At 55.2% G+C, this 22,999-nt stretch overlaps 2 protein-coding genes across 11 annotated transcripts in view, besides 11 other annotated features; one reads left to right on the top strand and one right to left on the bottom strand.

Annotated features, from left to right (window-relative positions):
* MAPKAPK3 (MAPK activated protein kinase 3) overlaps nt 1-8,934 on the bottom strand; it is a 37,772-nt gene extending 28,838 nt beyond the window's left edge. Inside the window, exons 1-5 of one of the 8 annotated variants that reach the window (XM_047448883.1) lie at nt 8,717-8,934; nt 8,325-8,460; nt 7,512-7,606; nt 6,436-6,662; nt 2,670-2,940 (exon numbers count right to left, since the gene is read on the bottom strand). In XM_047448883.1, the coding sequence (XP_047304839.1) occupies nt 2,670-2,888 (219 nt within the window). In that variant the 5' untranslated portion in view covers nt 2,889-2,940; nt 6,436-6,662; nt 7,512-7,606; nt 8,325-8,460; nt 8,717-8,934. Of the gene's footprint in view, nt 1-2,669; nt 2,941-3,212; nt 3,304-6,435; nt 6,663-7,511; nt 7,607-7,754; nt 8,131-8,324; nt 8,578-8,716 lie in introns of those variants that run through there. The other 7 variants (XM_047448887.1, NM_001243926.2, XM_047448884.1 and 4 more) reach the window with 7 other exon arrangements.
* Nucleotides 1,677-2,629: an enhancer, noted in NCBI's record as "H3K27ac-H3K4me1 hESC enhancer chr3:50655256-50656208 (GRCh37/hg19 assembly coordinates)". NCBI's record gives its function as "activates a minimal SCP1, AML or CMV promoter by ChIP-STARR-seq in primed H9 embryonic stem cells {active_cell/tissue: H9 hESC(primed)}" and the evidence as "EXISTENCE:reporter gene assay evidence [ECO:0000049][PMID:30033119]".
* Nucleotides 2,630-3,583: an enhancer, noted in NCBI's record as "H3K27ac-H3K4me1 hESC enhancer chr3:50654302-50655255 (GRCh37/hg19 assembly coordinates)". NCBI's record gives its function as "activates a minimal SCP1, AML or CMV promoter by ChIP-STARR-seq in primed H9 embryonic stem cells {active_cell/tissue: H9 hESC(primed)}" and the evidence as "EXISTENCE:reporter gene assay evidence [ECO:0000049][PMID:30033119]".
* Nucleotides 2,850-2,999: a silencer, noted in NCBI's record as "silent region_14403". NCBI's record gives its function as "represses an Ori minimal core promoter by ATAC-STARR-seq in GM12878 lymphoblastoid cells {active_cell/tissue: GM12878}" and the evidence as "EXISTENCE:reporter gene assay evidence [ECO:0000049][PMID:35858748]".
* Nucleotides 3,250-3,299: a silencer, noted in NCBI's record as "silent region_14402". NCBI's record gives its function as "represses an Ori minimal core promoter by ATAC-STARR-seq in GM12878 lymphoblastoid cells {active_cell/tissue: GM12878}" and the evidence as "EXISTENCE:reporter gene assay evidence [ECO:0000049][PMID:35858748]".
* Nucleotides 3,310-3,359: a silencer, noted in NCBI's record as "silent region_14401". NCBI's record gives its function as "represses an Ori minimal core promoter by ATAC-STARR-seq in GM12878 lymphoblastoid cells {active_cell/tissue: GM12878}" and the evidence as "EXISTENCE:reporter gene assay evidence [ECO:0000049][PMID:35858748]".
* Nucleotides 4,451-4,540: an enhancer, noted in NCBI's record as "active region_19913". NCBI's record gives its function as "activates an Ori minimal core promoter by ATAC-STARR-seq in GM12878 lymphoblastoid cells {active_cell/tissue: GM12878}" and the evidence as "EXISTENCE:reporter gene assay evidence [ECO:0000049][PMID:35858748]".
* Nucleotides 8,162-8,251: an enhancer, noted in NCBI's record as "active region_19912". NCBI's record gives its function as "activates an Ori minimal core promoter by ATAC-STARR-seq in GM12878 lymphoblastoid cells {active_cell/tissue: GM12878}" and the evidence as "EXISTENCE:reporter gene assay evidence [ECO:0000049][PMID:35858748]".
* Nucleotides 8,332-8,811: a silencer, noted in NCBI's record as "silent region_14400". NCBI's record gives its function as "represses an Ori minimal core promoter by ATAC-STARR-seq in GM12878 lymphoblastoid cells {active_cell/tissue: GM12878}" and the evidence as "EXISTENCE:reporter gene assay evidence [ECO:0000049][PMID:35858748]".
* Nucleotides 8,680-13,965, top strand: CISH (cytokine inducible SH2 containing protein). 3 transcript variants are annotated; one of them, NM_013324.7, is made up of 4 exons: nt 8,680-8,823; nt 9,925-10,081; nt 11,861-12,081; nt 12,312-13,965. In NM_013324.7, the coding sequence occupies exons 2-4, from the start codon at nt 10,011-10,013 to the stop codon at nt 12,845-12,847; spliced, it is 828 nt and encodes a 275-aa protein (NP_037456.5). In that variant the 5' UTR covers nt 8,680-8,823; nt 9,925-10,010; the 3' UTR covers nt 12,848-13,965. The 3 variants fall into 3 exon arrangements, with proteins under 3 accessions (NP_037456.5, NP_659508.1, XP_047303354.1); NM_145071.4 differs by lacking the exon at nt 9,925-10,081; XM_047447398.1 differs by lacking the exon at nt 8,680-8,823 and having other exon boundaries at nt 9,918-10,081.
* Nucleotides 9,161-9,721: an enhancer, noted in NCBI's record as "H3K27ac-H3K4me1 hESC enhancer chr3:50648164-50648724 (GRCh37/hg19 assembly coordinates)". NCBI's record gives its function as "activates a minimal SCP1, AML or CMV promoter by ChIP-STARR-seq in naive H9 embryonic stem cells {active_cell/tissue: H9 hESC(naive)}" and the evidence as "EXISTENCE:reporter gene assay evidence [ECO:0000049][PMID:30033119]".
* Nucleotides 15,155-15,204: a silencer, noted in NCBI's record as "silent region_14399". NCBI's record gives its function as "represses an Ori minimal core promoter by ATAC-STARR-seq in GM12878 lymphoblastoid cells {active_cell/tissue: GM12878}" and the evidence as "EXISTENCE:reporter gene assay evidence [ECO:0000049][PMID:35858748]".
* Nucleotides 17,727-21,407: an enhancer, noted in NCBI's record as "VISTA enhancer hs1747". NCBI's record gives its function as "enhancer in: heart[7/12]" and the evidence as "EXISTENCE:transgenic organism evidence [ECO:0001131][PMID:17130149]".

The raw sequence follows: 22,999 nt of genomic DNA, 5'->3' as shown, positions 1-22,999 counted from the left end.
GGCCTGAACAAGGTCAAGTTATAAGATGAGGACAGGCCACCCTGGTTAACCTGGAGTACATCACCAGGGAGGCAGAAAGACACAGAGCCCACGACTGTTGCCTAGGCTGAGCTGGGGCAACTGCGGGGAGAGGGCTAGGCAGATGCAAGGAGAGGACTGTGATCCATCATGAGCTGGCTAAGCTCCCTGGGCCCAGGCCTGCCCATGTACTGAGGTCCCCAGGTCCTGGTCTTCCTGGGCAATGGGCAGAAGCTATAAGTGGGGAGATGTCACCTTCCTCCTCGTGGCCACAGCTACCACTCACAAGACAGGTAAAATAACTGTACCAGAGGTTGTGCTTAGCCCAATATTGGGAGATAGTAAATGCCTGCTTAGCTGGGTAAGGACTTCTAGGCTTGGTCACTAGTGATACTAAGAACAGGAAGGTCCTGGAGTGGGAGCCACATCTAATCCATGTCCCCTTTGAGGGCCAATTTAGGGCCAGATCCTGAAGGTCCCAAGCTAGTAGCCTTAGCCATGCTCACCCATAAAGGGGTACAGAGGGAAATCCACTCCAGGCCTGACCCAATTCCCAGTCCAGAACAAGGAGAGCACTGATGAGGTGCTGTGGAAGTTCTTGCAGTCAGAAGTTACCCCAAGTCACTCATCAGACATAGCATCTATGGGGAAGGGGTTAAGTCCAGTCTTACTTAAAGCTGGCACTGTGTGGGCCTACAAATTCTGGTCTCCCACCCCATCCCTGACTCACCCACAGCATCTGGACACCACAGGGGCTGGTCAGAGCTCAGTCTTGGCCCACAGGGTCAAAGCCTTGGTATTAAGAAGTGGGTCTCTGGCCTCAATCCCTCACCCACCCAGCCTGCCCTCAATCCTAGCACAGGTGGAAGGTTAAATAGTGCCCAGAGGGGGATGAAAACTCTCATTCCTCATCCTCTTACCCCCGTCTGCCCTCAGAAGAGCCACTTTTTCCCTAAAAGACTCAGAGAATCCCATTCCTGATACTCTGAAAAGCTCCCCGACCCCATTCGACTGCTGGGTTAGTGGGCAAAGAAGCTATACCTGGGGCCCAGCCCCACCAGCCCAACCCTGATCCTCTCCTAGACCCACCCGCATGTTCCCCTCCAAGGTACTCCGGGGAGACAACCTCCTCTGTTGGCCCTAGTGGTCCTGGGAAAGACACAGAGAGCTGGGTCCAGCTCCCTGCTCAGATGCTTTAAGACCTTGTGCCTTAAATAAGTCCTGTAACCTCTCCAGACCTGTATCAGGTCCTGTACCAAGTGCTTTAAATGTATAATCTCATTTCATGTTCACAACAACTCCTTATCTTTCCCCATGAATAGATGCAGAAACCTGGCTTCCAGAGTCTAGGATATCATCCAAGGTCATGAAACTGGCAAACACAGGATAGCTATTAGCCATATCTAGAGGACTCTGCACTTGGACTCATAATTAAAACTTGTGTAAAGGCCGGGCACGGTGGCTCACGCCTGTAATCCCAGCACTTTGGGAGGCCAAGGCAGGCAGATCACGAGGTCAAGAGATCGAGACCATCCTGGCCAACATGGTGAAACCCTGTCTCTACTAAAAATACAAAAAATTAGCTGGGCGTGGTGGCGCACGCCTGTAGTCCCAGCTACTCAGGAGGCTGAGGCAGTAAAATCGCTTGAACCTGGGAGGTGGAGGTTGCAGTGAGCTGAGATTGTGCCACTGCACTCCAGCCTGGCGACAGAGTGAGACTCTGCCTCAAAAAAAAAAAATCTTTTGTAAAATGAGAAGGGCCTTTGCTGTACTTCTAGCCTCCAGGAGCCACTATCCCTGCCATGCTCTACCCATCCATTGGCACAAGCTACAAATGAGTAAAGACCCCAGAGATGACAGATTCAAGGGATTCTGGGTATGGGGTGTGGCCCTAGGCCCAGAACTGTATGCCTTAAGCTGGAACCAGGTACCCGCCCCCAGCATCCCCCTGACCCCCACCATGCCACCTATATCAGCATGCCAGGTCTCCAGGGAGCCTATAGTCTGAGGTGGCTAGATGGCTGGCCCGCCCTCTGCCCAGGAACCAGGGGTGGGTTGGCCCAGGGCCTGTCCCTTTCAACACGGGACCAGCGACTCGTCAGGAGTCTATCAGCAGCCTCCTGAGGCTCCACAGGTGCAGTGGGCATCAGCCTTGTCCTCTGGCCAGCCCTGGGAGGCTCACACCACTCCAGCCCAGACAGGCAGGGGCCACAGGGAAGAAGCAGTCCCACCCAAGCCTTGGTGGGGTCTCAGCTTCCAGCAAAGGGAAACAGATCCATTCCAGTCAGAGGAGCTTCACATGGAAGGGGCAGCCAAGCTGAACAAGAGATCCCCTTTGGGCCTGAACACATGGGTCCAGCCAGAATCCCAGAGTCAGGAGTCACCCCTTCCCTGCTTCCGGATACAGCATCTCTAGCCATAGTGACTCCACCCCTTGCTCACTGGGACACTCAAAGCTTAGCTAGGCTACGCCTCAGTTTCCCCATCTGTGAAGTAGGGAGGACCACAAGCCTGACCTTACAGGACAGTATGACGATGAAACATGTTGCTGAGCATAGGAAGCTTAGCAGGGGCGCTAGACATAGCTTCACTCACAGGCTTCCGCTGTGGACCCTCCAGGATACCCCAGGCCTCAGTGAGGGCTCACTGACCTTCAGGGCACACTTCTGTCCAGTGCGCCGATGGAAGCACTCCAGCACTTTGCCGTTCACACCCAGGCCCAGCACCTGCTTGGACAACTGGTAGTCGTCGGTCACTGCGTACTTCTTGGGCTCCCGCCGCCCCCCCGGAGCACCGCCCAAGCCGGGTCCGCCGGGTGCAACTGGCGGGGGCACAGGGCCCCCCTGCTCCTCTGCTGTTTCACCATCCATGGCCCCCGCGGGGCGCTCAGAGGCGGCCCCAGCCTGGCGCTTCTAGTGGCACCTGGGGGAAAGGGGAAGAGTGAGTCCCGCCCAGACTTTTCCAACACACCCCAGCCTTGGAGCCTCTGAACTGGGCTGGGCTGCGAGCCCGGGGCAAGCTGGGAGTGCGGGACGAACGGCCTGAGAGTACAGACGTGCAGCAAGGGGCGGTGGTCGCGCGGCGGGGTACAAGCGAGCACCGCCCGGGCACGTGTCAAGAAGGGAAGGGGCCGGGCGCCTAATGGCCGCGAGGTCCCCGGAGGAGGCCGCAGAGGGGGCCCAGCGAGGGCGTACCTGGCGGCAACGCACCTTGCTGAGGTACCGGCGAGGGGCAGGAGAGGCGGTCGCGGGAGCTGGCGGCCGCAGAAATCCCAGGGCCGAGAGTCGCGCTGCCGGCGCCCACGTGACCTCCCCCCCCTCCCCACCCCCCCCTCCCCCACTCCCCCACTCCACCCCCCGCTCCCTGCGCGTCATCCCAACTTGGGGCCCCGCTAGGTCAGCCTTAAAGGGCCAGGCGGGCCCCGGCTGGGTCCCGCCCCCGAGCCGGAACAAAATAGGAGGCGTGGCTTCCCGAGGGGGCGGTTACTTCCTCGGTTTCCAGGGACACCCAGGGAGGCCCCTGTACTGGCAGTCCGCTACTGTGCGGGTCCCGGGTTTTACTCGCAACCTAGAACGTGACAGCGCAGGACGTCTTATTTCTCTTGAAAGCTCTCCTTGAGTCGGGTGTTTGCTCTGCACGCTGCCAGGTGGCCCTCCAGTATGGCTTGCTAGGCTTCCGACTTGCCTAGTGTTGGCCAACCCTCAGCGTACTCAACTTTTTAAACATGCCGAGGGAGGTGGCATCTTGTCGTTGTTGAATTCGCCACTCTTTAGTCTCTGGTGGCTCTGGGAGTCTCCAGCACTGGCGACTGCCCCCTTTTTGCAGCTCCCGCTTATGCCCTTGACTCGCTGCTTCCCTTTGGTATATACAGCATCCTGGGGACCAGAAATCCCGAGTTGCCATTTGATCAGATCCGCCAACATTTCACCTTATGGTTTGGGCTTTTGGCGTCGTGTTTAAAAAGTCTCTGTCTCCCATCCGAGTGACAGATATTCTCCATTAGCTTTCTAGTTTTGCCTTGCACATATAAGTCTCTGTTAAGCCCATCTTAGACTACCTTACGTATTTTGAGCCAGTTTTCCCAACACCGGCTGTTAAGCAACTCTCATTTCACAGATGAGGAAACTGGGACCCCTGGGGAGAAAACAACTTGTCTAGAGCCATAGGGAGGGTGGCTGTGGCTGTCTTCTGGGACAGATCTGAACTACTTGCGCACATCACATCACTCCCCCAATCCGGAAGCTGAGGGACCTGAGCGAGCTGGCTCACTTGGAACTGGGAAGGTGCGGCTCAGCGCAGGGGCTCTGCATGGGCCTCTGCTGTCATCTACAGGCCATCTACAGGACTGCAGGTACCAGGACCTCGGTTCCACTCAGAGGCGTCTTCCAGCCATCCTACTCTTGGCTCCGGAATTTAGGCCCAGTGAGCGCCTCCCCCTCAGCCCCTCTGGTTAACACACGCACACTCACGGACCCCTGGGCTGCATGTGCAGGCTCATCAGAGAAGTAGCTCTTGGAAAGATGATCTTCTGTCAATGAATGAGTGAATGAGTGACTGAAAGGGTGCTACAACTTATTAGTGGGTACCCACTGTGTGCAGATGTTGAGTGGAGATGGGGTTGGGGCTCTGCCCCTATTTCTTTCAGGCAACCTTCAAGCTAGCAGTGTTCAGTGAAGCAGGAGGCTCCAGACAATAGCCTCAGCTGGCCATAGTGAACACTTCTTGCAGACCAGATGCTGGGAATGTGCTCTCCCTGCAACCCCCTGACCTTACAGAGCCTAGAGGAGGTCACACTATCCCTTCTGCCCCACACTACAGACACACAGGACAGAAAAGCCCAGAGAGGTTAAGTGACCTGTCTGAGGTCAGCAGCTGTCATGACAGAGCCCCCATTCCAACTCCAAAGCACAACCTCAGGGCTGGGCTCTTATCCTCAAACCATGGCCTCCTCTCCTAGTCCTTTCTGGCTCCTCACACAGCCACATGTGCAAACATACTCTCACACATGTACACATGCAGTCACACCTTTACACATGTGCACACACATGCATATAACACGTATAAACACACATGCATATAACACACATGCACACAGATACACATGCACATGTGCACACACACATGCATTTATGCCCAGCTGGACCCAGGATTGATGTCCCTGAGCCCAACCTGAGAATCTGATTCAAGATCTCAGAGCCTCTTTGAAAGCCCTATGATCTGGAATCTTCTACTGCTGGGGGGAGCCAAAGAAGGCTCTCTGCTCTCTGAAGGCAACTAGTTTGAGCCTGGTGAACCTGAGGCTGAGCAAGATGTCATTCTGGTGAGCAGAAGGCTAGGCAGCTGAGGGTGGAGGCTGGCTCCTTGCCCCAGCCAAAGGCATCCCACTGAATGTTCTGTGAAGATGTCTTCTTTCTTTAAAATGGAATTAGATTATAATTGCTCTACAAATTTTATAATTGTATTTTTTAAGCTGGTCTCTTTTATTAAAATTTTAAGTTGCATAAGTAAAACTTCCTCATTGTAATTAATTCAAATTATACAGAAGTATGAAAAGTAAGGCAAAGGTGCTGCTTCTCCCCTCCCAGTCCCTATAACCAGTGTCCATGCTTCCACAGGCACACGCATTCCCCACATGGGTCCATCGGAGAGATGCCTTGAAACTACTCACTTAGCCCAGGAAAGTCAGAATATGTGGTTTCCCTTAGTGCTCATGTTCCAGCAACCACCTGCAGCATCCCCTCCACAATGATGGGAGGATTTGGCATGCAGGATGGCTAGGTCTGGTCAGGAGTGGGTTCATGATGGCAGACTCTGCCACACAGCCCTTCATGTAGCTGTGTGTCCAAGGGGACAGAGACTTTGGAATAGCTTAAAGTGAGGGGGGCTAAATCCTACACACACACACACACACACACACACACACACACACACACACTCTGTCCTTACTGGAGAGGGGAGGCTGTACATGGTGAGAGGATGGAGGCCAAATGAGCGAGACTTTTGGGAAGGCACTGCTGTGTATTCTTGTGATTCATCTTGTGATTGTTCTGGGTAGGGAGTGGCAGGGGAATCTTGCAGTAAGTTCAATCCCTGGGGTGCAGGAGAGGGATTATCCTAGAAGAGAAGAATCTATGGAAATTTGGCTAGTGAGGGCATGAGAGGGGGCACCGCTAGGTGGCAGTGTGGGCCCAGCAATCAGAGCCAGGGTTTCTAGGGAGCAGCCAGGGCAGGAGAATTAAGTACTAAGTTGGCCAGAGGGACCCAACTTAGTACTTGGGGCAGAACAGGGGCACATCACTGTTCCCAGCATGCAGGTGAGGTGCACAGTGCTGTCATATTCACACACACACAAAAATAGTTGGAAGGCCAAAACCCTTGGAACCCTTTGGTTTACACATAGACTGCATAATCACTGACCTGTAGGAGATACTTTCAAAGGGACACCCATGGTGCTCTGACATGGACAGGCCTGGGGGCAGAGAAGCTTCACTGAGGACCTTAAAGCTGGATGTCTAGGAGTCGGCAGATCACCAGCACCCATAGAGGAAGTAGGAGGAAGTGTGTAGGCTCCTGGCTTAAACCATTACTTGCCAGCTGGGAGATCTAAGTTATATTGTAACCTCTCCATGCCTCAGTTTTCTCACCTGTAAAGAGGAGATAATATGTGGTAGTTGTGACAATGACATGAGGCTGCAAATTGCTGAGAGTGCTTGACACATAGTAAGTGTTCAGTTGAATAGTCATGGTGAGGGGGAAGAAGTATAGTTTTGGTAGAGAGCTTGGGATTTGGCCCCATAAGAGACCCAAGTTCAAAATTGTAACTCTGTTGCCTGGCAGCGGCAAAGTCCTTTTGTCTTCATAGTAATGAGACAGTGGACAGTTCCTACTGGCAAGTCAGTGGTCCACACAGGGGCCGCATATCAGGCTATCCAGGTATCCCAGCCCTCAAAGTGGGTTATAAGGTATCCATCCCCCCTACCCCCATTCCAAGAAAGTGGCTTCTGGCCAACTCAGGAGGGGGCTGGCAGAGTTGCACTCATGAAGCCCGGCTTCCCTTCAGGAAAGCTACAGAGAAGTGACTGCCCTGAAATCTGAAACTTAACGTTTTTTCCCCAGTTTCACAGGGTTTTGCTTTCAGGTTTCTTTTGCCCTCTGCCATTCTGGGCAGAGCAAACTGAGCCCTGTCTTCCCTGGATGCTATCGTTCAGGCCCTTCAACAAGGCCAGGGGTCTGTCATCCCTGCCCAGGATCTCAGAGCTAGACTCCTTTCTGGGGACCCTGGGGGCACACACTGGGAGGGGGATGGGGGTGGGGAGTGGACCCTGCAACCTCTCCAAATCCCACAGTTCTTCTGGCCCAAGGGTTTGGAGGAGATTCACAGACCCTACAGTCCTTCAAGATGCTCCATAGTGAATCCAGTGAACTGAAAAAAGGTGGAGAGGGTCCTGGTAGGAGCGTGGGCTTCTGATTCAGAGCTGGGACCAAGCTCTTACCCTGCCATTTCCTAGCATTTGTTCCCTGGGGCTGTCTTCTGTCCGCATAACGGGAGCAACACCAGTTGTAGAGGATCAAATGCAGCAAGTACTCCCTGTAGATAAGAGCGAGTGTTACTACTCTGCCCCCGCCATCCCGCCCCAACCTCTATCACCCTACTCCCAGATTATCTCCCTATGTTTTGAGTTGCAGGACTCTCTCTCAGCATTTTTTTTCTGGCGGGGGGTGGGGGTGGTACCAACCCAGAGTCCGGGCCATCTGGGGCTGTCTCTGCTTGCTTTCTCAAATCTGTAGTCTCTTCTCCCCTGACTGGCAGGGCCGGCCAGAAACCAGTGCCAGCCAAGACTGGATGGTCTGCCTGATTCGAAAAGTTGGGGCGTGCTTTCTCCTTCAACTCTTTCAAAGAAAACGTTCTTGTCTGGATCTTTCTGGCTGTGGTGACCGCCGGCTTGACCTCAGTGGACCCACTCATTTCTGGAACTGTCCTCTGCACCCCGCCCTGCCCTAAGTCCCGCTCCAGATCTCACCCCATGCCACCCAATCCGACACCCGACACACAGAGTCCTAGGGTCCAGGAGCGGCCGTCCCAACACGGGGCGCTTGCACACGCCGACAGACCTCCTTGGAGGAGCCGCTCGCAGGGAGGACAAGCCCGGGACTCCGCCCCCCGCCCTGCCACGAGTTCCACCGCGAGATAAGAGGGCCCTTCCCCAACGACGCAGAATGCCAGAAGGCAATCTGGGCGCGGGTTGCTGAGCCCGGGCCCCTCCTTAACTTCCCCGACCCGGTCTTTCCCCACTGATCTCTCCGACCTGCCCCTCTGGGTAGCTTCAGCCCCGGGTCCACGCGCTGCTATTGGCCCTCCCCGACCGCTCGGCTCCACCTTCAGCGTCGCGATTGGTCAGCTCGCGGGGCCCCGCCCCGTTTTCCTGGAAAGTTCTTGGAAATCTGTCAAAGTATTTCCTTTCACTGCTCAGGGCCCCAGACCCGGCGACGGGGCCCGCGCACCCCGCCCGGGCCCCACCGCTCAGCCCGCGGTTCTAGGAAGACGCTGCTTCCGGGAAGGGCTGGAACGCGGCAGACAAAGGATTAGGCAGCAGCTCGCCCCGCCCCGCTCGTCTGGCCCGCCCCCCTCGCCCTCGCAGGCGGTCCGCGCCACTGCCTCTCAGTCCCTGTCCTGCGCCCGCGCGCCCCGGGAGCCTACCCAGCACGCGCTCCGCGCCCACTGGTTCCCTCCAGCCGCCGCCGTCCAGCCGAGTCCCCACTCCGGAGTCGCCGCTGCCGCGGGGACATGGTCCTCTGCGTTCAGGGGTAAGCGCGGCTCTCTGCCCCCTTCCCGGCCACCACGAGGGGCGCACGGGAGAACAGGGGCTTCGTGCTAGCTGCCGGGCATTGGGAGGGCTTGACGGGCCAGAGGTGACTGAGCGCAGACGGACCTCAGGAGCAAGGCTCTGTGTGGGGCTGTGACACTCCCACTCCCCGCCCCCACACACTTACCTCAATTCCCACTGTGGATTGGGAAACCGGGGGCTGGCCGGCTAAAGGAGGAACTCACAGGGTGGGCTCAGCCTGGGTTCTCATTGGAGCAGATGGATGCTAACGGCACGGCGTCCCCCAAGATGTGGCCAACAATCCCAGATATTCTTCTGGGCCCAGAGCACTCTACGCTAGCCTGCCTGCTGCCCTGCCTGCTAGTAACCTTGGACCAGCCCCTGGCCCCCTCTGTCCTGGTGTCCCCTCTCCTGCCCCAGGCTAGCAAGTAGGCTCTTCTTGGGAAGCCAGCCGCAGATCCTTGCCTTTCCTCAGGCTGGCACCTGATGGTCTGCAACTCTCGGGAGGCCCTGGGTTTGGCCTGGTCCTGCTTGGGGTACCCCCACAATCGTCTCACAACCCTGTCTCAGCCCAGTCTGGGATCCCAATGTGAGAAGGACCTTGGCTCCTGCCTCTCATCTTCAAATTTCCCAGACTTGAGGTAAGGGACAGTGGAGAGGGGATGCTGATAAGACAGAGTCTTGACCTGAGCTGAGCATTCCTGGCCATCCACTCTGTCCTGAACCTCAGCAACCCCTTCAACCAAAGGGTCTGATGCTGGCCATGGTGATGTGACAGGAGCTCAGGAAGCTCCAAGGAGAGAGGAAGAAGGTATAAATGGGTGTTCTGCACTCAGGGAGGACTGGGTGGCTGTGCTTATCGCAACTGGCCTGGTGCCAAGTGAGGGAGGGTGGAAGGTGAGGCCAAGGAAGAGGACATGGAGGTGCTGGGAAGACTACTTCTCCCTTGCTGTCTCCAGCAAGTTCCTTCCTCCTGTCTGCATTCTGGGACTCCTGAATACCTGCCCCACCACTGCCTTCCACCCCAGGAGCCTCCCCCTGCATTCCGGGGTCCCATAGCCTCTTTCACTTTTTACCCTAGGTGAGCACCCCCTTGTAAGCTCAGGGCTACTGTTGGGTGTCAGGGAACAAAGTTTTAGACTGCTGCGCTCCAAAGCGGGCACACACATGTACCTAGAACACACCAGCCACTGTCCCCACCATGATGATGACACAGCCATGGACACACCCCTGCCCAGGTACACACTCACCAGGAGCTTGTGGTGATCAACACAGCTATTCATACACCCAGCTACCACATCAGCCCCAAAGGTGCCCACACCTACATGTGGGATCTGAGGACCGGCTAAGCTATCTGGACGTGGCCACCCACAGAGGTTCCAGCCTGACTGGCTAGCCACCAACCATGCTCCTGGGAAGGTAGCTCTGGGCCCCAGCAAGCAGGTCATCTCAAAATTTGGCCTCCAGCTCTCCAAGAGGGATTTCCAAGATCCCACAGTACAGCCAGGGTAGGTGTGGAAAAGTTTTTGTCAGGCTGTGGTGTGCCAGAGTTGTGTGGCCCTTTCTCACTGTGAGTGGTCATAGGGCCATGATTTGTTAGAACCTAGAGGGTCACCTATAACCTACACAGGAGTCAGGTCTGGCTCCTGCCACCAGCTCCTGCCTGCGCCTTCCTGCCTCACAAGCAATACTGGCGCTGTTTGCCCATGCTGTCCTCTCTACCTGGGGTCCCTTCCCCCAGCTCCTTCCTTTGGCCTGGAAGACACAGCTCAGGAGCAAGCAGACCCTGACTCCCCCGTGACACCTGCAGTTTTATGACTTTGCATTATAATTACTCTTAGTGTCATCTTCCCCAGCCAGTCTGGTTCTCCTTGAGGGCAAGGCCATGGTTTCATTATGGCGGTGTCCTGAGGCCCAGCCAGGGACTAGACCCAGAACTAAGGCTTGGAGATGTATTTTGCAAGGAGTGAGGGAGGAGCAGCTGTCTTCCTGGGGAAGTAGAGCCAGTCCCTGCTGCCCTCCCAAGGAGGAAGCCCTAGTATCACCCTGCTGGGTGGGCTTCCCCTAGGAGAAAGCTGCTACTCAGATTTTGGTCGGCTCAGTTCCCCCAACCCCAGCCATCCAAGAATATGGTGTTACTGAACCTCTCAGTGCATGGGTTGGTGGGACCCTTTATTGCGGAAAAGGGAAACTGAAGCCCAGTGAAGAGCAAGCTTTGTACAAGATCGTAGAGCCTGGTAGGGCTGGCTTGCCAGGGTGGGAACTGGAGTGTGGATTAGGTCCCTGCCCTTGGTGGGAGCTCATACTGACAGGAGGTGAGACTTGCCAGTGCCTTTAGAGGCCACTGTCCACCCCAGACCCTCCACTGGGAGAAGCAGAGGCCAGGATAGGCTGACTTGTATGGGTAGGGGATTATTTCAGTCTCTAAGTCCTGGCCAGTGTGGACCTAGGTCCCTCTGAGAGACACTCCTATCCATGGGGAGGTAGCGTGTGACCTCAGGCAGCCTACCATAATCCTGGGGCTTCTCTGGAGGACCCCACACAGATCTATCATAGGATAAATCTACTTGTCTGTCGTAGATCTATCTCAACTAGGACCATTCATCAGTGGGCCATTTAATCAGCCCACTTCAGCCAGGAGGGCACAAACATGAAGCTACTTTGCACTGAATCCTATCAGTGTGGTGAGAACATTAGACATGCCTATAGGGAATGATCTGTGTTTTTGGTTGATATAAAATAGAGAGCAATTAATTACTGTTTAGTAAATGCAGGGCAGTGGAAAAGAATCTTTCAAAAGAGGATCCCCACATGGAAACAATCAAGGTGGCTTTTGTGATGACAAGTGGGGAACGAGATACTGGACTAACTGAGCCCATGGCTGGGTAGAGGGGAAGCTGAGGCTCATAGTGAGATGGGCCAGCCAGAGGTCATGAAACTAGTCTGGGGCATAGGGGGGTCTCTGGAGATGGGGGAAGCATGGGTCCTCCACTCACTGCTCATCCACTGCCTTCTAGACCTCGTCCTTTGCTGGCTGTGGAGCGGACTGGGCAGCGGCCCCTGTGGGCCCCGTCCCTGGAACTGCCCAAGCCAGTCATGCAGCCCTTGCCTGCTGGGGCCTTCCTCGAGGAGGTGGCAGAGGGTACCCCAGCCCAGACAGAGAGTGAGCCAAAGGTGCTGGACCCAGAGGAGGATCTGCTGTGCATAGCCAAGACCTTCTCCTACCTTCGGGAATCTGGTGAGTCTGAGGGGGGAGGCAGGCCTTTTCCTGAGTAGTCTGGTGGGAGAAGCTTAGTTCTGCCTTTGAGTCTGATTTGGGAGGCATAGCCCGGCCCAGGAGAGTCTGATGGGAGAGGCACAGCCCTCTCTAGGGAAGCGTGAAGCTGGAGGCACTGCCTTGACTTGCACTGGATTGGTTACCCCAGCTAATTTCCACTATGTCCCTTGGCCCCCTCTGCACTTGCCTAGGCTGGTATTGGGGTTCCATTACGGCCAGCGAGGCCCGACAACACCTGCAGAAGATGCCAGAAGGCACGTTCTTAGTACGTGACAGCACGCACCCCAGCTACCTGTTCACGCTGTCAGTGAAAACCACTCGTGGCCCCACCAATGTACGCATTGAGTATGCCGACTCCAGCTTCCGTCTGGACTCCAACTGCTTGTCCAGGCCACGCATCCTGGCCTTTCCGGATGTGGTCAGCCTTGTGCAGCACTATGTGGCCTCCTGCACTGCTGATACCCGAAGCGACAGCCCCGATCCTGCTCCCACCCCGGCCCTGCCTATGCCTAAGGAGGATGCGCCTAGTGACCCAGCACTGCCTGCTCCTCCACCAGCCACTGCTGTACACCTAAAACTGGTGCAGCCCTTTGTACGCAGAAGCAGTGCCCGCAGCCTGCAACACCTGTGCCGCCTTGTCATCAACCGTCTGGTGGCCGACGTGGACTGCCTGCCACTGCCCCGGCGCATGGCCGACTACCTCCGACAGTACCCCTTCCAGCTCTGACTGTACGGGGCAATCTGCCCACCCTCACCCAGTCGCACCCTGGAGGGGACATCAGCCCCAGCTGGACTTGGGCCCCCACTGTCCCTCCTCCAGGCATCCTGGTGCCTGCATACCTCTGGCAGCTGGCCCAGGAAGAGCCAGCAAGAGCAAGGCATGGGAGAGGGGAGGTGTCACACAACTTGGAGGTAAATGCCCCCAGGCCGCATGTGGCTTCATTATACTGAGCCATGTGTCAGAGGATGGGGAGACAGGCAGGACCTTGTCTCACCTGTGGGCTGGGCCCAGACCTCCACTCGCTTGCCTGCCCTGGCCACCTGAACTGTATGGGCACTCTCAGCCCTGGTTTTTCAATCCCCAGGGTCGGGTAGGACCCCTACTGGCAGCCAGCCTCTGTTTCTGGGAGGATGACATGCAGAGGAACTGAGATCGACAGTGACTAGTGACCCCTTGTTGAGGGGTAAGCCAGGCTAGGGGACTGCACAATTATACACTATTTATTTATTTATTCTCCTTGGGGTTGGTGTCAGGGGCGAGCCAACCCCACCTCTATGCCCTGAGCCCTGGTAGTCCAGAGACCCCAACTCTGCCCTGGCTTCTCTGGTTCTTCCCTGTGGAAAGCCCATCCTGAGACATCTTGCTGGAACCAAGGCAATCCTGGATGTCCTGGTACTGACCCACCCGTCTGTGAATGTGTCCACTCTCTTCTGCCCCCAGCCATATTTGGGGAGGATGGACAACTACAATAGGTAAGAAAATGCAGCCGGAGCCTCAGTCCCCAGCAGAGCCTGTGTCTCACCCCCTCACAGGACAGAGCTGTATCTGCATAGAGCTGGTCTCACTGTGGCGCAGGCCCCGGGGGGAGTGCCTGTGCTGTCAGGAAGAGGGGGTGCTGGTTTGAGGGCCGCCACTGCAGTTCTGCTAGGTCTGCTTCCTGCCCAGGAAGGTGCCTGCACATGAGAGGAGAGAAATACACGTCTGATAAGACTTCATGAAATAATAATTATAGCAAAGAACAGTTTGGTGGTCTTTTCTCTTCCACTGATTTTTCTGTAATGACATTATACCTTTATTACCTCTTTATTTTATTACCTCTATAATAAAATGATACCTTTCATGTACAGAGCCCTCAATGGGGCCGATTTTCAGTTGTGTACACAGTGTGTCCCCTTTGATCTTGTTATCATTAGCCCCCATTTGATATTTGGGCTAGCGGAGAGGCCCAGAAATTCTATGTGGCTGAGCAGTCCCTGCTGGGGACTCATTAAGGAGTGGAGGAGACAGGGAGCAGCCTCTCCTCTCATCTCCCCTGGGTCCCCTTGGGAAATGGGAGCTAGGAGACAAAGGCCAGTTAGACTGCCTGCAGGGTGACTGCCCTGGCCACTGCCAGGCGAGGGCTCGGGGGAGGGTGGCAGAGGTGCATCAGCCCTGAGAGATGTGTAAACAAGAAATGCCAACTCCAAATCGCAAGTGGAGAATACCCAGGGAGAGAGAGCTGTGGACTACTCCTGGGGTCAGTGTCTTGAGATGAGGAAACTAGTAGTCAGAGAAGTCAGGGCTGGTTCTCCCAGGAAGAAGGTACAGTGAGTGCAAAGGCACCAAGGCATGACTGGGAGGCACGTGTTCCTGACACACAGAACTGAAGAGGGCTTGCTCTGTGCAGTGGGGCAGGGCAATTGAATCGGGGTAGGGGCCAGTGAGCTGGCAGAGTCTGACCTGGGGCGGAGGTGTCCGGGTTCTAGTCCAGACTGGTTGGGATTGGGGGATCCTTTCTTCTCTCTCAGGGTTCAGCACACCAAAAGTGTGTGGAAGAGCAATTTCAATGAAAACACCCTCCATTACCGGACAGTCTGACTTTGGAACACTATCTGTTGAGATCTTCCTGTGTCCCGAAGTTTTCCGCACCTTTGCTTGAGGGCCCCACAGGAAAGCTTCTCTAAAGCTTTCTAACCTTTATTCTGGAAACAATCCTAACCTTCCTGTTGTCTTAGCCCTCAAGCAATTAGAAGTCTTAGAGTAGAAGAGACACTTGTTGGCAGGTTGAGAGCAAGGAGGGGTGAGGAGTGACAGGCTGATTACAGGGAGGGGTAAGGACGAGGATAGACAGCAAGAACCATGGAGTTCACACAGGACCCTGGGGACATGGAGGCAGTCATGGCAAAGAATAGGTCTGACGTTAGGTGAGAGTGAGCAAGAGGTGGGTGATGGAGGGAGGGCTGTCTTTCCTGGATGTGGTGCCCAGACCCAGGTGGCCAGCCACGTGCCTTCCCTGTTACTGGCGGCGGCCTGAGCGCTTGGCTGTCTGTAGGGCCAGATGGCACGCTTCCTCCAGGTCACCATGACCCAGCCAGGGGTATTTACAGTTCCTCATTCCTTCAGTCTGAATTTCAGCTGCTTCATTGCTTCCAGAATGCCTGAGGTAACCCCTCTGTCTGCTTCACCCCTAGATTTGAGTCACCTAGCGGATGGGTAGTGGATACAGAGGGGCCAGTGTCAAGCTGTTCCTCACCTGGTGCTGCAGCCTGGACAGAAAGCTGCTGTGGCTAGAGGAAGCACAGAAAACTGCTTTGTACACAGAGAGAAATGTCTCAAGGTGCCTGCCAGGTGCTGGGCATGGGGCGAGGGCTTGCACCTCATGTAGCACTCACCACAACTTTGGGAGTGAAGTCCAAATATTACCCACGCTACACAGATGAGGAAACCGAGGCTCAGAGCAGGGAAGGGGCTGACCACGGCCACTCAACAAGTGGGGCTCAGGGCAGAGCTAACCCTGGGGGGTCCTGACTGACCTTTTGTCCCCCGGATTACTACATGAGATGGGGAGGACAGGGATGGTGGCTTCCAGGCAAGTTGCTCTTGGATGCTGTTTTCTATCTCCTGGTATCCCTGCCTGCTGAGAGCTCTTGGCCACTGGCCTGGCCACCAAGGTCCTGTTCTCTTCACCCTGGCCTCAGCTCAAGCCAGGGCCCGGCTCCTGTCTGGGGAGGGGCTGCCAGCTACTTCTGACCCCCAACAGGTTCCAGGTTCCATCTTCTTTTCTTGTTTCCCTGCCAGGGCAGTGAATGATGCCTGCCCAGACCCCAATCAGAGACTCAGCCTAACAGATGCTGAAGATCCTCTGGCCAACGTGATCACCACTGTGTGGTCCTGGCCTAGTAAAAGGGGCACACATGTTGACACTAGCCAGGAACAAAGGGATGAGCCTTCTGGTGGGTGCAAGGACCCTGCACAACATACAAACAGTAACGAAGGTCACACTTTATCATTAAGTCCTCCACCAGCACATGTGCTCCAAAGGCACCAACTGGGCCAGACTCCATCTAGGTCCTGGAGACAGCAGGGAACAAGACAGACACGGTCCCCATACTCATTGGGCTCGTGGGCTAGCGGGAGAGACAGAGAGTGAACTAGTGAACAAATGGGTGCATAGGACAAGCTTTGAGAGTGTAAAGAAAGAAAAGCAGTGGGGGTGGGAAGAGTAACTTTGGGAATGGGGACACCCTGCAGCTGGGAGGGCGTTGGGGATAGCTCTGCAGCTTTGGGTGGCACTGAGCCTGGAGACCCAGGCAATGAGCAGGAGCTGGCCATGCAGACAACTTGCAGAAGGGATGTCCCAGGTGAAAGGAACTACAAGTGCAGTGGCCCTGAGGCAGAGACCTAGAGCCCAGAATGGCTGCCCAGGAGGGGTGGGAAGGGCAAAGGAAGCAGGTGGATTTTATTTGAGGATGGCAAAGCACCTCTTCAGAGCCTAGCAGGGGAGTGCTGTGATCTGACCCTCATTTCTAAGGGAGGTATCTGTACTCATGAGGGCCTGGAGGCAAGAGGCCAGAAAGAAGGATCTGGAGGGTAGAGTGTGGGAGCGGGGGCAGAAAGAGGTGAGGGCAGCAACTCTGTGACTCTGGGTTGGGTTCCTACCCCACTAGCAGAGGTTGTCCTCATCTACAGCTGAAGAGGGAAGGCCTCAGAGAGGGGTGGTGAGAGGCAGAGCCAGAGTTCACATCCTGATTCCAGACATTGTTTGGAATAACCACTGCTCTATTCTGCCTCCAAGGGTCTGGCTTGCTAAAGCCTAGGCACCCACAGGTTCAGAAGGCATGCAGGAGGATGGGGAGATTCAGGAGGGCTTTCTGGAGGAGGGGGTCTGGGGGCTGGGCCCTAGAGGATTCTGCCTCCAGGTGGGAAATGGGTTTGGAGATTGATCCTGTGTGGCGTCCCTCCCTGGATTCACAAGCCTCCCTCTGGAACAACCTTCGGACAGAAATGCTGCTAAGCCATCTAGGTATTTCTTGTTGCCCCCAAGGAGTGTTTGCTGGATACCACCCCCCTTCCAGACATACCACTGGGGTATCATTGGTGCCAGTGTGTACATCTCACTAGGTCCCTGCACCTAGGCTGGACTTTTAATCTACTGACTGAGCAAATCTCTCCTGGCCAAGGCTGGACACACAGCTGAGTGGGGCTGGGGTCCATGACTAGGCCCACCTCACTCTCAGATGGGGACCCTCCCGTCCTGCACGGTTGCCCACAGTGAAGTGGAAGGCGAGGGGCCGGGGGCCTAAAGGCCTAGAGGCCTGACTACGAAGGCAGGAAGACTCAGGGTCTGTGCATAGGACATCCCAGACTTCTCCAGCTCTCATAAAGGCCCTCTTCCTCCAGGAGAAGTAGGCCCTGTGCAAGCCTGGGCAGCCTTTGACACCAACCTGCTAGACCAGTTTTAAGATAAAGTAGACTTGAGCTTTGCCGGAAATTCAACAGCCTCTCATGGTGGATGTGTCCTCCCTATCCCTCCCTGGCTCCCGTGGACCACCCAAGGGGTCACTCCAAGAGTCACTCTGGGGCAGCAGGCTGGAGTTCCCACGTCTGAGACTCAAGCTAGAGGAGGTCCCTGGAGGTTTGATTTTGGTCAGAATGCAGACCTCAGAGTGGTTGGAGAGTGGCTGGGCCTGGATGCTGGGGAATGGGGAGTGAATGGAAACCGATGCTCATCTCTGAGCAGGAGGAGACACAGCAGGCCCAGGGAAGGGGAGCTTTTCTGATGTGGTCAAAGCTTCCTGCTCAGTGGAAAGAGAGTTGCTTCCATGGCCCGGGCCTCATTAAAACAGGCAGGGCCTCTGAGGGCTATGGGAACCTAGGATTGCCATGACTCCTCCAGGCAGCCCTCCAGGACTGTCTCACCCACACAGACCCTACTAGTGAGATGCTTGCGCTGGCACCGATGATGCCCTGATGACATGCCTGGTGGGGAGGGTGGTATCCAGCAAATGCTCCTCAGGCAGAGTCCTGCTCCAGGGACTCTCCCCACACCCAGCACCCATGAGCCAGATGGGGCCCTTCCTGTCACCAGAGCTGGGCTCCTCCACCAGAGGTGGGGATTGCACTCATAGTCCAGACTGGGCCAAAGCTCTGTTCTTCAAAGTGCCTCTCAGCCCTCAGCCTCCTCCCAGGAAGCACTTCACTGCTCCCACCCCCACCAGCCCCACATCAGTGACATCACTTGTGTGTGTGTGTGTGTGTGTGTGTGTGTGTGTGTGTGTGTGTGTGTGTGTGTGTGTGTGCGCGCGCACGCGCGCACGCATGCTTGTGCTGACCTTTCCACTTGGCCAACATTCCTTTGTTTTTCTCAGCTCCTTCCAGTGGATGGCTGTGGGAGGAGGAGCTGCTGGGAGAGTAGGTTCTCAGGAAACATTTCCCCCAAAGCCCCAGGGACACGGAGCCCACGAGACATGAGAAAATGAGGCTTAACCAGGAGGAGAGGTGTTCCAAGGGCAGTTTGAGGGGTGTGGGTGAGAGAAAAGGAGAGATCCTGGCAGAGATCACTGTTAACCCAGGTGTGTGCATGCCTGCGGGGGCGTGCTCCCGGGCATCCTTGCCAGATCAGCACCATCAGCCTGGCACCTAGTGGGCAAGCTGAGCTTATAAGGGCAGGCAAAGCTGGGTGGCCCTAGGAAGTTGCTGCATCTCGCCAGGACATATATGGCTCAAAGTAGGCCAGGGTCCTGGGTTTGCTGTTGTGGGATCAATTCACTTTCTCTCCTACCCAGAGGTGCCTGGTTGGGAGCTGTGGGCTTTGGGGGCAGGAGCACCTCCTCCCAGCACCTTGACAATCACCCCCTTTCTCTTCTGGGTCTCAGTGAGTAACTAGGGTGGGTGCTAGCTTCCAGAGGATCCCTGGGCCTTGTGTAGGGCAGAGAAGGCCTGGCGTGGGCACCCCCCACCCCCAGCCTGGGTGAGGTGTTTTCGCCAGAATTGCAGCAGCTGGGGCTGGAGGCCTCTTCCCAGGAAGAGCAGAGCGCCGCTTCCAAGAACTCAGAGGAGGCCGCAGGCGGGAGGGGGAGCGGGGGAGTTAATTTTAAACCACACTGCCTTCAACGCTTCTCAGGAACTGGTTGCTCAACGTGATCTGGCAGGTCCCAGGCGGCTGGGCAGGCCTGGTGCCAGCTCAGAAGTGGCGGGTGGAGGACACGCCCCAGGGGGAGGCCTGGTGACCTTGAGGGAAGTAGGGCCCTGTCCTTGACCACTTACCAGGGCCTGTCCCTCATTCACCCGACCCAACTTTGCTGGGGGGTGTGAGGTGGGGTAATTTATTCAGTTCTAACCAGGAAAGGTAAAATTATAACAGGATTAATAACACAAGTGTCATGGCCTTCCAAGGGCCCCAAGACGATCCCATCCCCCTTCCCTGCTCAGAACCTGCCTGTCCTGCACCCTGGCCTGTCCTCTGGAGGTTATCTGATGAGGGCCTATTCTGAGGGTAAGGCCTGTGCTGATTCTCTATGGGATGGGACCCTGGTGCCAGGCTAGTGGGGGGAGTAGAGTCGGGGGGTGGAGGGTGGCATGTGGCAAGCTGGTGGAAGTTCTGGACCAAGGGAATGAGCCTCCTTCTTGTGCAGGGAGAACTCATGGGCCCGCACCCCATGGTTGACTGCAGTCAAAGCACCTGCATTTCACCGACCTCCTGTTGGAGGTGTTGACCACCCTAGTGTGGCCAACCACTCCCGGCTGACAGCCTAGGCCCACCTCCCAATGTTTGGTCCATGGAATGTTCTACCTGCAGAGGCACCTCCCAGTGCACCCCCTTCCCCCACTACCCCCACTGGCTGCCCTCTGAGACCCCAGCAGTCTGGGCAGAGCAGGTCTCAAGTTCTAGGAAAGGATCCTAAGCAAATGCTGCCAAGAGCTGCAGTTCTTGGAACCAGCACTGCAGGGCGAGGGGACACTTCCTGGAACCTGCTGGCCCTTCCAGGGAGTGAGGCTCAGAGGACAGCCAGTGACCTGGGGTAAGTGGGGGGAGAGGGTACTGAGCCCTTAGCTTCGGTCTCTGCCTCCAGGAAGCCCTCCCTGACTGCAGGTGCCTCCTTAGACTCCTCCATCCCGGTGCTGGATCTGGCATGACCTCTGAAGTGCCCGGTGTCCAGCCTGGCAGAGTGGACGACGAGAAACAGGTGTTAGTAGAGAAAAAAAGGGCATGTGTACCTATGGAGGCAGCGTGTGGGTGTGGGTCCACAGTGAAAGCAGGAGGTTAGACAGGAGTGTCCTGCCTAGGCCAGTGAGCAGCCGGGGGTGTGAAGCACCAAGGGAGAGTAGGAGGGAAAACAAGGTGGGGTCAGCAGTGCCAGGCCCTGCTCACTGAGCCCCCTTTGCTGGTGGGCAGCCTCTGGCTCTAGTCACTCCTTCAGGACAGCCTTGTCTCACCCACACTTCCCTGTCCCACAGCAGGGGGCCCAGGCCCCAGCTTCAGCATCAAGCCACCCAGGACATGCATCTGGCCTTTTGGAAAATAGCCTGGAGAATGCAGAGGAGAGGCTGCAGTGAGTGGGCACTGACAACTGTCTGGGACTGGGTTGAAGTCTGGCCACATTTCAAGGGAATGGCCATGAGTGTTCCCATCACAGGATCCCAGGAGCAGCATTGTTAGAGCAGGGGCCTGGAAGTATGGCTGAGGGTGCTGAGTGAGCAGGTCAGGGTCACATAGCTGGGAGGCACTAGGACAACCTTTTAACCACTCATGACCCCTTTACCTTCAGAATGGAGAACCTCCCCTGGCCAAGGCTGGACGGGGTGTCGGCAAGAACTTGCCTCTCTCCTCCCACCCTCAGGTCACTCCTTGGCCCTCACTGAGCACAGCGCCAAGCGTGCTACCCATCCACCCCAATGTCACAGAGAAGATGGGGACAATGCTGGCGTTAAGAAGGGCTAGGACCCAGTGGGTGGGTGGCAGCTGTGAGGTGGGGCTATGGCAGAGAGGTCCTCCCTCCCCTGTAGGAGGGCAGTGGGGCAGCCCAAGGACACAGGTCATTGCTGTGCTTGTACTCTGCAGTGGCCAGTTCTCAGAAGCTACCTGGGGCAGCTGGCAGTGGGTGGGAGTGCTGCATTCTCTGTCACTTAGAGGCCTTGATGCCTGCACCCAGGTCAGGCTGGCTGTGGCTGGAAAGAACCTGCTGTGGATGAAGTTGACCTGGGACCCACGTGACCTGAGTGAAAAGAGCTATGGGTTTGCAGGGGACACCGGTGCCCTGCTGCAGGTGGTTCTAGAGCTAGGTATCCTGCATCGTGACTTGAGCAAGTCATGAACCCACTCTGAGCCTCAGTTTCCCACTCTGTTTTTGGTGTTTGGTTTGGTTTGGTTTTGAGACAGGGTCTCACCCTGTTGCCCAGGCTGGAGTCCAGTGGCACAATCTCGGCTCACTGCAGCCTCTACCTCCTGAGCTCAAGCGATCCTCCCACCTCAGTCTCCCAAGTAGCTGAGACTACAGGTGTGTGCCACCACACCCCACTAATTTTTTGTACAGATCTAGTTTCACCATGTTGCCCAGGCTGGTCTGAACTCCTGGGCTCAAGCAATTCTCCTCCCTCGGCCTCCCAAAGCACTGGGATTACAGGCGTGAGCCACTGCACCGGGCCTCCACCTCTACTTTGGGGACAATGTTATCACTTGCCTTATGGAATCGTTGTAAGGAGGAAATGTGTAGACTTGGTGATTTTTGTTTCTCCTCGGAGTCTTCCCCTGGATCCCAACTCACCCCTCCAGCTCCCACTTCACCATGAGCCCATGGAGACATGAGCCCCAGAAGAGCTCTTTCTCTGGTCTCTATTGCAGCAAGAAGTACCTGTGGGCACACTGGAGCATAGGCCTTGATGTTTGCAGTGCTCCAGGCAAAAGGACAAGTGGAGGCTCACATACCAGAATCTAAATATTAAACAACCATAAATCAAGCTGCTAATGAAATGTGTTCTATCCTCCTACTGAACAAATAAGCTTTCATAGGAGTAAAAACATCTGTAAATCTACAGTTTTTATATATCTGAAAGTCAGCAGATATCCAAAATGATGAAACTTAGTAATTATCACTCATGTCCAGGTGTTCAGTGACCTGAGGTTTAAGTGAGAGAATGAAGACTTGCCTGATGCCTAAGATATTCTGTATTTATTCTGTAACATTGATTCTCCTCGTCTTTAGTCTAGTAAAATGATTGATTATGTTGTTACAGTCAAGACTTCTACACTATTACTGTTCTTTTCATAGTAATGATTAAAAAGATTAAAATAAGGCTGGGCATGGTGGCTCACACATGTAATCCCAGAGCTTTGAGAAACCAAAGTGACAGGATTGCTTGAGGCAGGAGTTCAAGTTTACAGTAAGCTATGACTATACTACTGTACTCCAGACTGGGCAACAGAGCAAGACCCTGTCTATAAAAAAAATAATAATTTTTAAAAAGACTAAAATAAAATATTGGCCAGGTGTGGTGGCTCACACCTGTAATCCCAGCACTTTGGGAGGCCAAGGCAGGTGGATCACCTGAGGTCAGGAGTTCAAGACCAGCCTGGCCAACATGGTGAAACCTCATCTCTACTAAAAATACAAAAATTAGCCAGGCATGGTGGCACACACCTGTAATCCCAGCTACTTGGGAGGCTGAGGCAGGAGAATTTCTTGAACCCAGGAGGCAGAGGTTGCAGTGAGCCGAGATCCACACCATTGCACTCCAGCCTGGGTGACAAGAGTGAAACTCCATCTCAAAAAAATAAATTAATTAATTAAATAATGAAATAAAATATTACATTCAAAGAACACAAAAATATGTTAAATTAAATGAGATATGTCAAAATTTCAAAAGATGATATAGTCCAAAAAGTTATTGTTATTTTAAAAT

Source organism: Homo sapiens, chromosome 3, assembly GCF_000001405.40.
Source record: "Homo sapiens chromosome 3, GRCh38.p14 Primary Assembly".
Taxonomy (NCBI): domain Eukaryota; kingdom Metazoa; phylum Chordata; class Mammalia; order Primates; family Hominidae; genus Homo; species Homo sapiens.
The sequence above is the reverse complement of the archived record's forward strand: the minus strand, read 5'-3'. Positions and strand labels throughout refer to the sequence as shown.

Coding starts and splice junctions, on each gene's coding strand:
- CISH (NM_013324.7), top strand. CDS start 10,011: ATGTACCTAGAACACACCAGCCACTGTCCCCACCATGATGATGACACA. Junction 10,082..11,860: donor ATGGACACACCCCTGCCCAG/GTACACACTCAC, acceptor ACTGCCTTCTAG/ACCTCGTCCTTTGCTGGCTG. Junction 12,082..12,311: donor CTCCTACCTTCGGGAATCTG/GTGAGTCTGAGG, acceptor GCACTTGCCTAG/GCTGGTATTGGGGTTCCATT.